At 34.2% G+C, this 12,599-nt stretch overlaps 1 protein-coding gene across 8 annotated transcripts in view; it reads right to left on the bottom strand.

Moving 5' to 3' along the window:
• TINAG (tubulointerstitial nephritis antigen) overlaps window positions 1-12,599 on the bottom strand; it is an 82,281-nt gene that overhangs the window by 8,154 nt on the left and 61,528 nt on the right. For 7 of the 8 annotated variants that reach the window (XM_006715062.3, NM_014464.4, XM_011514497.3 and 4 more), the window contains one exon: window positions 1,418-1,463. The exons of the other annotated variant lie outside the window; for it this stretch is intronic. In XM_006715062.3, coding sequence (XP_006715125.1) covers window positions 1,418-1,463 — 46 coding nt within the window. The remainder of the gene's footprint in view (window positions 1-1,417; window positions 1,464-12,599) is intronic. 8 annotated transcript variants of the gene reach the window in all.

The following is a 12,599-nucleotide window of genomic DNA, read 5'->3' as shown; positions in this document are numbered from 1 at the left end:
CCTAGAGGTAGGGATCTAGGGTGGGAATGATCAGGTTGAGGATGAAAGGATCACAAAACATTTTCCTCTGCACATTCGTTCATATTCACTCAGCAAATGGCCATCAAGTGCTATATGCTAAGAACTGTTGTGAGTTAAATACATTAATCAAAGAACTTGATTTTTTCTCTAAATATTACATCGTTATGAGATTAAAAAACTGTTCAAATTTATTTAATAAAAATCCTATGCAGAAACTTAATAGTAGGTATTCAAATAACATATCCTAGTTTATAACTTATTTATTTTAACTATTGGACATTAATGTTGATTGTTGGCTACTAATTATTTTATTTTAATGAGAAAAATTATATTTTTAAAAGCACAGTTTAAATATAAAGAAGAATCCTTCTACTTAAAAGCATCATACCTCCATGTATCAACAACACAAATATAAGGTACGAACACATAATTGGGTGATTGAATTCTGTGAGTGCCTTATGAAGAAATATACCAAGAGTCATTCTGATGAGTACAAGTTCTAGCACCTAGTGCTTTGTAAGCCAAAATATGCCCTCTACTGTGTACATTTAAATTTAAATTCCATGGTAAGTATTACCACATAGACTTTATTCTATCTGTATAAAAAAAGTATATAATATTAGGACTTTGGACAATTGACCAGCTTGTTGTAATAAACCGAATATTTGAGGTAATATGTTCCAATCTTCTTCAAATTGTTTCTTACCTGAAACTTTCTGTTATTTTGAGACTAGATATTGGTTCTTTCTGAGTAAAGACACATGCATATGTTATATTTGGCAAAAAGAAAAAAAAAAGCCTTAACCTATAGGATATATATACACATATGTGTGTATATATATCCTGTAGGTTACATATACATATATATCCTATCGGTTATATCCTATAGGATATATATACATATATGTGTATATATATATGATACTAACATAAGCATCAAGTTCATTGCCATCTAAATATATATGCCATATAAATATATATATATATCCTATAGGTTATATCCTATAGGATATATATACATATATATGTATATATATGATACTAACATAACAAAAGCATCAAGTTCATTGCCATATAAATATATATGAGGGAAGTTTGATCAATACTTTTAGTTTAATATAGAAGATAATAGAACAAAGTTACCCTCTTGATTCTCAACTTGGGGAAAAATAAACACTGATTTTTCTTTTACAATTTGAAATACTGAGAGTTGAGGAAAACTATAAATACAATATAAATGTTTATAATAAGTTTTGTGCTGGCGAAAACACTGATGTTATCAACAATATTACACAGCTGAGGATGTGACTAAATAATACAAAGCAGGTAGCAGAGGAACAGAAGATTTGAACATATTCACTTCACAGCAGGAATTCAACTGGAAAGAGTTACATACCCAAAATTTTTCTTTCTGCCCTTGTGCTCCTCTCAGTGTGCCCCATCTACAATTAATAACAATAATAAAGATTGGTATGGTTAAAATGTTTGGTTTGCTTCTTGAGAGAATGCAGATTATTGTCATTCCTACATCTTTTGTGCTTTCTCTCTGTCCCATCCTGTTTCACAATGGAAATATCACCATTGCCCTACAGAAATGTGCTCATATAGTTTTCTTCTTTACCATAACATTATTTATGTGCACAGAACAGACTCATTTATATATAAATGGCTTGAAATCAAACTCATTGACCACAGGAGAGAAAGACTAAGGCAACTGGGGTACAAAGTTTTTAAAAGGACTTAAAAAATACTTATCCTCAAAGACTTCAAATTAACCCAAATGCCCATCAATGATAGACTGGAAAGAAAATGTGGCACATATATACCATGGAATACTATGCAGCCATAAAAAACAGTGAGTTCATGTCCTTTACAGGGACATAGATGAAGCTGGAAACCACCATTCTCAGCAAACTAACACAAGAACAGAAAACCAAACATTGCATGTTCTCACTCACAAGTGAGAGTTGAACAATGAGAACACATGGGCACAGGGAAGGGACCATCACACACTGGGGCCTGTTTGGGGGTCGGGGGCTAGGGAGGGATAGCATTAGGAGAAATACCTAATGTAGATGACTGGTTGATGAGTGCAGCAAACCACCATGGCACGTGTATACCTATATAACAAACCTGCACGTTCTACACATGTACCCCAGTACTTGAAGTATAATATTAAAAAAAAAGAAAAATAAAAATTAGATTAAAAAAGGAGGTACAACCATATTACAGAAGAAATTAAAAGTCATAAATTGATTAAAATACTTATCCTCTTTATGTCTAGCCCCTTGAAACTCTACCAAACAAATCTACCACTCTACCTTAAATGGCATAAACTAAACATTTCCAGAACTACTGTTATAAACCATAATGAAAACACAGATAATTTTGTAGTTTATGTAAAAATATTTATATATACATATTATTTTATAAAGTGGCTTTGTGCCTAACGTAGAATTTTTGTAAACACATGTATGTATGGATACAGAAGCTTATATTTCCACTACTGGTCCATTCTGAATGTAGCACATGACAGCTCATAAAAAACCTAAACGTACACGATTTCATTTTTCTTCATGATTAAATCCAGCGAGGTAGGTATTATTAACCTGTTTTATTTACTGAGATAATGGAGACTTGTCCAATATCATACACTGGGAAGTGTTGAGCCAAGGCTCCAAGTCTCACATTCTTCTTAATACATTATATTGCTTTTCTTTTACAGACATATAGGCCCCACTTGTAGTGTGTACTTACTTTCATGTAATTTGGTGAATTATGAGAACACAATTAATTCTGCCCGTGTATTACCACATTAACCTAAACCTAATATTCAAACTTCCAACAGCAGGGCTCCTTTAAGCTAAATTATGGTCTGTCATTACAGAACAAACATTCCTAGAAGAGATGCAAATTTCCAACCTGGTGAGTTTGCAGAAAGCTATTTTTAATAGGGCACAGAATAGAATGATGGCACCACAGCACGGAGGTATTGCCTAAAGATGACAAGTTTATGGTAGGGCTCTTGGGACACACACACACAAAATATAATGTATTTGGATCCTTTGGCATGAGAGTGAGGGAAGAAAAAGTGATTTGGGGTGTGAGAAAACATGAAGAATAATTTTGCTTTCTCCTATTCCTGATAGAGACTAGGTTGCCTTCCCACTTTGTAAGATCTTTCAGACTTCTTGAGCTTGGTGCATTGAGGATGGTGCATGGAAAGAAGAAGAAATAGAAAAGTCATACAAAGGAGAAGAGGCACTTCAGAATGTGGTGTATACCTTTTATTATTTTAGTATTACTGAATAAATTAAAAGTGAAATAAACTCCCTTAGCTTGGAAACTTTTAAGAAATACGAACTATTACTTTTACTTTTGTTCAACTGCTATCAGTTTTCATTATGTTTCTACATATTTTGTTACAATTTTCCAAAAAATAATTTCAATGATGCAAAAGACAAGAATAATTCTTGCAAATCTTTCAGCTCTTTAGAGTTGCTGTAAGTTTCTTTTCAAGAAACATGTTTATTATATATAATTTTAAGACGCTCATTTAAAACACCAGTCATTCTAAACCCAGAGAGAATAGCAGCATTCGGATTGTTACATGCTTTCTCAAAATGGGCAGCCAAACCAATTATCCAAGTCATTGACTAGAGGTGACAGAGGAAAAGGAAAGTATGGCAACTGAATCTAATAGTTTCAGAGACTAAGGTGCTGGTATAAAAAAATTAACAAAAGGTGTTAACCTTTATGCAAAATTCAAATGAAAAGAAAATATCACACATGGAAAAATAACACCACAGAAGCTATTGTGCAGTTAGTTCACCTATGTTACAGCCTCTGTGTCAAATGACAAGCAAAGTCCATTCATCACAGGATTTAACATTTGCACTGCAACCTTCAGCTATCTCCTCTCCTCTGTCTTCTCTAGACAGCTTCTAAGACAGTTATCAAATATTTCATAGAGTTGCAATGGGATGTTGTAAAAAAAAAATAGATCTGCGGGTTCTTTCCCCGATGATATTATAGCAAATTCCTGTGGTTAAAACCTTTATTTAAACTAAAATAAAGGTTAACTAGTGCAAAACCAGAAGGCTACTCATTTTATTCACTTACAGGAAAGAGTTCCTGTCTTCTTGAGGGCATTTTTTCCTAATATATGTATGTTCCTAAATTGTGGTACCATTCCTTTACTTGCTATTATACCAACAGGTTGAAAATTCTAGAAATATGCATATATTTTCACAAATGTTCTCTTATAAGTCAGTGACTGTCTCTGAGGATATGAGGATCTTCATTATATTCATATTTGCTCTAAATATAACTATGTGTACTCTATTTCCCTTTACATATACCTCTTCATTTGAAGATTATTTACAAACATTTGTTTAGACAGACCAGAACCTTACTTTACTGAAGTTATTTCTTATTTATTTATTTATTTATTTCTGAGACCGAGTCTCACCCTGTTGCCCAGGCTGGAGTGCAGTGACACAGTATCGGCTCATAGCAAACTCCGCCTCCCAGGTTCCAGCGATTCTCCTGCCTCAGCTTCCCGAGTAGCTGGGATTACAAGCATGTGCCACTGTGCTCAGCTGATTTGGGGATTTTTAGTAGAGACGGAGTTTCACCATGTTGGCCAGGTTGGTCTTGAACTCCTGACCTCAAGTGATACTCCCGCCTCGGCCTCCCAAAGTGCTGGGATTATAGGTGTGAGCCACTGTACCTGGCCTACTGAGGTTATTTCTATACCTTTGTGAGCACAGTGGGTTCACAAGCTTGAGAGATCTTAATACTGGCTATTTGGTTTTTGTTTTGTTTTGTTTTTCCTCAAGGAAATCCACATAATACGGTTCTTTTAAATTGTTTCTACTTCATTAAATTAAATTGTTTCAATTATTTTTTAAGACTCATTAATAACTTTTTCTCTCAAAATTTAGTGATACCTGGGAATATGCTGGTTTTGAAAAAAATCTGGGCAGCTCTTAGCCCATCTACCACATTCCCTAAGGATGCATGAGTGCTGCCTGAGCCCTTCAGTCTCCCTACATTGAGACTGGGTTTCCGTCTCTCACTCAATGCACATAATTATTTAAGCTCTTCCTTCAGGATTTATTTTATATGCCCACTTTTCATGAGTTCCAGAAACACTACTTTTTTATATATATGAAAAGTCTTTATGGAAAGACCATAAAGTTCCTGCAGAGTAAGGTATTAAAACCCATGAAAGAGTGATTTAAGATCCTGTACTTCTAAGGTTATTAATATTTCCATGCATGTTCCTTTTAAAAGGGATATTGTTCTTTTTAGATAACTATGCTAAACACTAAACTTTTCTAAGCCCTATTTTAAGTTATGCCTAGATAGTAAAATTATTGGAACAGAATAATTTGCATATGATTTTAAATGATATTTTTTTCTTTTCTTTGGTTTTGGTAGATTTTGTCAATGAGGCCCATACACCCAGTGAAGTCATATTAGATGCCATAAATAAGAGAGGGTTGAAAATAAAACTTTATTAAAGCAAAATTTATATTCCTATAAGTATCCCTTTTAAGGTAAGCACAGAATCTCTCTTGTATACTACACCTGTTAGTTTCTACTTTTTTTTCAACAAATTACTGGTTAGCCCAAAGAAGACATATATTTTGCTTTCGAAAAACTGTCAGTCTAATGGGACTGATATTGAGGAATGAAAAACAAGAATATAAATAGATAGAATTCTGTAAGTGTCACTTTTAAAAAGAGCATGTTTTGAACATTTCTACAAGTTAACACATGAAAACATTAACTCTCCGCCAAAGGCAAAGATGACTTTGTTCAGAGTTGAGTAGAAATTTCTTCTTGACATGGGAGTGTAGAATTTATGGCAAAATCAGCAGGTGCAGTCATACAGCCATGAAAACCTCATCTCTGCCTATTCTAGGAGCAGCACTTAGTCCAGTGTGACTGAAGAAAAGGGATGGGAGTGGTGGAGAATGAAGTTAGGCAGGTGTGGCTCAGTCCTCCAAGATGGTTACCAGACGTGGCATTTACAAAGTTGGTGATAAAGAGCCATTTGAATATGGAATGTGACATGATCCGGATTATCTTTTAGAAAGACAGCTCTGGTGTTAGCATCGGGTATAGTCTCCAGTGAGAGCCGGCTAGAAGCAAAAGATTTATGTTGCAATTCAAGCAAGAAATAATGAAATTCTGAATAAGAATGTAAGACCCATAAAGTAACGTTGTTTGTTCTTTTAACAGTTGTATCCTAAACATCTAGGGCAATGACTTTCACACAGTTGACCCTAAATAGATATTTGTTGAGCCAGTGAATTGAAGTACCTTGGCAGAGGGAATAAATGAGAGGGAACAAGTTTGAGAACTACTTAGAAGGTAAAAGTGATGGAATTTGTTGGCCAATTTATATGGAAAGAAAGGGATGAGAAAGAGTCAAGGTTAGCAACAGCATTTCAAAGTTGAATGAATAGGTACATCAAATGTGCACTACTTGAGGTGAACTTCATATTATACAGAGATGTGTTTCTGATTATCCGGTTAGTTTATCATTGCCTAAGACAGTGGTTACAGAATTGCTTCACCTTCTTCTGGATTTTCTCTACTGATATGGCTCTACACATAAACCTTTAAATTAATGGCTTTTCTGTGTTTCTGACAAACAATAAGCCTAAGAACAAAGAAAAACTAATTTCCAAAAGAAATTCTGAAGCAATCTTTCTCTACAGGAATTCTTCTGTGATGAGAATAATTATTTCCTAACTCATGTGTTAAGAACACATTTGCTTAGGGATTGGATTCCTTAAAGCCAGTCTCACAACCATCTAAGAATCTGGAGTTAGAAGAAAAAGAAAAATAGTTTTATTTTATTATGATGGTAGGTATATTACACTGTAGCAGAATCACCCAGACAAAAATGTTCCAATATTTTGGAAGATTTGCTATTTCTGGGGTCTCTGCACGTACCCAATAGACTGATAACAGGGATTCAAATTCATGTTTTCTGGGCAGACAAACTCTGTATTAGTGAATATAGATCCAGACAGATTAAAAAAAACAGTTTTAAAACAGTGGACATGTAAAGATATTTTATACAGGACACCCTACTTGAACAGGAAATTTTGGAGCAAAACAAGGAGCAAATATATCATATAACCTGATATGGAACTCCAACCCTTCTTATTAAGGAAATGAAACTCAGATAGGCTATCAGGATAAAGAAACCACTAGATGGGCTTCAAGTCAATAACAATGATACAACTACACTGGATATAGGATTTTGCTTTCAGAGGTAAGACTACAGATAGAGTCTTAGTTCCCATTACACAAAGATTTGAAAGATAACTGCAGGAAGAATAAGGAAAAGATATGCAGGCTTTTATTTTCTTATACATGTTCTACCTGAGATGCTTAGGAACTTCGTTTTTAAGAAAAGCTCATGCCTAGTAAATGAAGTGTTATTGAATATGAAAAAGTGCTAATTAATGCTAGATCAAAGATGGATAGAAACAGACTCCACAGGAAAGCAACATGAAATGTGGGCATTCCCTACCACCACTTAATTTTCTACTTGAGCAAAATATTAATCAAGCTAGGGTTCAATATATCTAAGATCAGGTACTTTTATCGATATGTTCTGCCAGGAAGCTACAAATTTTATCACAGGTTGAGGAGCAGATGATGGCTCATGAAATAGCATTTTTCACATGAAAATATTAATATCACACATGATCCTGTGTACCTAACGTTAATTATCTAAACAGCTTTATACAATGCCTACCATATTCCTTATATCCTGATGTATCAGGAAGCAAGAAGATTACAAGTGTAGTATCACATGTAATTTGACCTATGAAAAGAAGTTTGGAGAAAATTGATAAATGTGTGTGCCCAGTTCATACTCTGGTCAGAATGACCTGCTGTAGAACTGAGAGAACTGTCCTTCTGTATTTACTATGCTGACAGAATATGCATTAAAACATCTATACATCTACAACAATGTGACATGTGCTAAGCAAAGAGAGAGCAAAGACCAAAATCATATATCATGATCAATGACAATTGACTAGGGTAATATCTTATGAAGAGAAACTTTAAGGGAAAACTTTATCCCTTTGATGTTAGGAATAGAAATGGCTTTTTGCCTTCTCATAGAATCTTAGCACTGGAAGGAGACTCAGAAATTATAGCATACTATAAGGGTTGGCCAGCTATGGTTTACAGGCAAAATCTAGCCTGGGATGCCTGTTTTTGTTAATAAAATTTTATGGAATATTCGTGCTCATTTATTTGCATATCGTCCATGTCAGCTAATGGTAGAATTGAGTAGCCAAGACCCCATGGCCCACAAAACCAATCAGACTCTAATTCATTTTATATATTTCATAGATAAAGGGACTGAGGCCCAAAAGGTTAAATAGCATTTCAAGATTATATGCTTAAGTGGCTAAATTATCACTAGTGTCTTAGAAGCAGATAATAACACAAGCAATAAAAATTAGAACTAGAAAAAGGCAGAAAAAGAGTAGAATCATTTCTAGCTGTGGTGAAGAGGAAAGGCATAATAGGCCTTCGATAATCTGTAGAAGATGCCAGGGGAAATGAATGCGTATCTGAGAGAGAAGAGCATCAAATAATGTAAGGAGGTGGCCTTCATGCATTCACAGAGAAATCGTGAAAGTTTTGGAAGAGAGAGGGATTGTAGGCAGCCATAGGAAGATCAAACTAGTGATGGTGAACAAGATATATTAAATGGAAAAGTGTGGGGTTGGAGGTAGGGGAAACAGTTGGGTCATTATACCAATATTCTAACCAGGGTTGCATTTATCACATCCAAGTCTCATTTATATCAAGAAATGTAATGAACACAATTGTTACATTGATGGGAATGGAGAAGAGTAATATTTAATGCATTTATCTTAAGGATCAAAATAAATCAAAGTTGTCACTTAATGCCACAGCTAGTACTCATTAATCATGTGCAAAATTTGTTTTTTCTGTAGCCCTTTCCTTTTTATTGTGGCTCAGACTTGGGCTGACTTTCTCTTTGGTCTTATTGAAGTAATCAGTAATATCCTAGATATTTCTGTGCAGAGAAGACATTGCAAATTGCCATAGCAACATATGCCTTTTAACAAAACTCTTGGTTCATTCATTATCAGAATTGTCATGTATATGTGTGTGTGTGTGTATATATATATATATATATATATATATATATATATATATATATATGTATGTATTTATATAATATTCTTGGAGGATCGGATAAAATCCTAACCCTAGATTCTGCAGTGGTAATCTCATATCACATGCATATACAGATGTATAGTAATAACCCAGCAAGTGCTCTCTTTTTCATGGGACAACCAATCCATATTTCAGTTGACAGAAGTCAGAAGCCACCTTATAGCTTAGCCCTGATGTCCTCTCCCTTCACCCCCAAATCTCTGGAAATTCACAAACATAAACTTTCTAAATCACTATGTGAATTCTATTATATTTGATAATTTGAGAGCAACACCTATGACAGAGGTATTCAATTATAAAATAAAATCACCAAAAAGTATTAAGCTAACTTTGGAAGGTAGCACTGTACCAGGGGCTAATAACATTTTATTTCACAGGCATCCCAAAATCTGAAGTGTCTATAGACATTAAAACTAGTTGAGGCTGGGCGCAGTGGCTCACACCTGTAATCCCAGCACTTTGGGAGGCCAAGGTAGGCAGATCACCTGAGGTCAGGAGTTCGAGATCAGCCTGGCCAACATGGTGAAACCCCGTCTCTATTAAAAATACAAAAATTAGCCAGACATGGTGGCAGGTGTCTGCAATCCCAGCTACTCAGGAGGCTGAGGCAGGAGAATAACTTGAACCCAGGAGGCGGAGGTTGCAGTGAGCCCAGATCATGCCATTGTACTCCAGTCTGGGCAACAAGGGTAAAACTCCATCTCAAAAAAAAAAAAAAAAAAAAAAAAAAACATGACTTGAAAGCCATTTTATAAACCTGCTAAAGCATAATCTCAAACTTTGTATAATCCATTGCTCCCAGATCTCTATAAATTTAAGGAACTGACTGTAATCACCTTCCCTAATTGAACAATTGTTCATGCACTGCATCTGTCCTTGGTATTTCCCAACTAAAAAAGTTTTGTTTTCTACCACAGTGATTTAATGCAATCCAATAGAGGTTAAGTGTAAATGACCAAATTCCTACCACTTATGTGTCTTTCTTAAACAAATAGAATCACATTATCTAAGATCATAAAAAATTTTATCGCATTTACCAAAGAAATTGTTTCTTCCTGTCATTACATTTCTCTTTTCCTTACTACCTTTATTCATCTACCTGTGAAATCAAGGTAAGGTAGGTCAAAATTAAATAAATAAATAATAAATTTTAAAAATAAATGTAAAATTATATCACATTATAGATAAATACTCATTAATATCATAATTAGAATCATTCTAAATTCTATTTTTTTAATTCTGAAAATACATTCAGAGTAATAAAAAAGTTAAAGAACGTTTGAATTTTAAAAACTAAAGAAAGTATAAAGTGAGCATAAGGGAGCAGACACATATCTCATTTAATCCTCACAATAAGACAGAGGGAAACTTATTATCCCAGTGGAATAGATGAGAAAACCATGATGTAGAGAGATCATACGACCTGCCTGAGATCACCCAGCGAGGACAGAACTAGCATTTGAATCTAAGCTTGACCCCAGTATCCTCGTTCTTTATGCTATAAAGCATTCCTTCACAATCAAGACTAGTCCTACACTTGACCTCAAGTCAAAAAGTTCTTTCTCTCTCTCTGACACACACACACACACACACACACACACAGTTTTCGTAAGTGACATTTTTTTGGAATGTAAAGATAGCTTTCTAAGAATTCTTTTAAAAACAACATTCCTACAATGTCTTTGCCTGAATAAAAAGAAAGCTTTTCCTTCTTACTGTTGTTATTTGCCTTGTCTTGCTTTGTTTTGTAATAGGTCAGTTCATAGCAATAGCACTTACGGAGTGGAACAGACCTGATCAGTGTTTGAGATGATGAATCAATGAAGGACCAGTGTCAAACAAGACAAAACAAATGGAACACAAACTGTTCTGTCAAGTTGATTCAGTACTGACAGACAAGGCAACATGATTCAATCAGCACTGAAAACAGAAAAAAAATAAAGCCCATCTATCAGTTTCAACATCCCCAGGGCCCTCTGCACCTCTACTCTTCCGACAGTGAGTTCAGCTCAAAAGATCCCAACAGTCCTGTGGGACCTCTCAGTGGCTTCCTTGAGTGACTAATTGATGGCTGCAACAAATCCAAGGGTCATAATTTACTTTATTTTATTTACCAAGGCTCTCCATGTTATTCATCTCCATATCTCCAGCACTAGCAGGATGCCTGGTACACAACCATCACTCAATAAAATTTGTTGAAAGTTTGAATTAAGAATAAACTTGAGAGTATATAAATAAATGAAATAATTTCTATTTCATATTATATATTTCATAATTTATAATTTATATTGGTTGCATTTTTTTCACTTTGTAGTAAGGTTCAAATATTTTTGGAAGTCATTCAACATAACAGCCAAAGGATTTTCTTAGCCTTCATGTAATCTTTTCTTTTCACCACCTTTAATACACCCACAATATAGAAATATATTAATGCCAAGTAAACTCACATAAAAGAAATCATATTTGTCAGGACTTAAGGTGGGCATAAAATAATATTGTAATGACATTTGAGCATGCAATTATAACAGCAGACACGAATTCAAAGATTCAGCAAGAAGAACCAACTGTCATTTATTTATTTCTTTTTCTTCAGACTTCACTGGGCATTTTTTTAGTCCTGGTTTTATTTGACATCTCAGCAACATTCCACACTACAGGCCATTCCTGCCTTCTTAGAACTCTCTTTCCTCTAGGTCTGTGTGACATCAACTCCTCATTGTTTTCCTCTTCCCTGTTTGGCCATTTCTTTTTAGTTTTCTGATAATCTTCAGTAATTTAAAATCTTCTGGAGGTAATTATAAGGTAACTTTTCATTGAAAAAATTCAGATTAAACTATCTGGACCTAAAGCTATTTGGGGTAGTATTAATTTATTTCCTCAATGGTTTAACCCTATAATCATTTACTTAATCTAATTTTCAACTCAGATTAAATTTATGTGTTTCTAGAAAATTAAATCATAAGGATTGATGAGTTGGCTTTATTAATATCATAATGGCAGTAATTATAATGATGATATTTAAAATAGTAACAGTTGTTGCTAACTCTGTGTATAGTGCTTCAATTATTTAATGCTGTTCTAACTGCTTCCCATACACTAACTCAACGCCATGCTCCTAGTCCTAATACAGCCAAAAATATTCCTAAACATGAAATGTATAATTTTAAAATGTACCTTAATAACAAGATTCTAATGTTTTAGCTCAAAACTCCTGGATTATATTTTTAAGTTTTAAAATTTATTTATATAGTATACATATAGAGATTATCATATATATGTGTGCTCTTGCATTCTAAAAGTTCCAAACAATTTAGTAAGCATGA

The sequence above is a fragment of the Homo sapiens genome, chromosome 6 (assembly GCF_000001405.40).
Source record: "Homo sapiens chromosome 6, GRCh38.p14 Primary Assembly".
In the NCBI taxonomy this organism is placed as follows: Eukaryota; Metazoa; Chordata; class Mammalia; order Primates; family Hominidae; genus Homo; species Homo sapiens.
The sequence above is the reverse complement of the archived record's forward strand: the minus strand, read 5'-3'. Positions and strand labels throughout refer to the sequence as shown.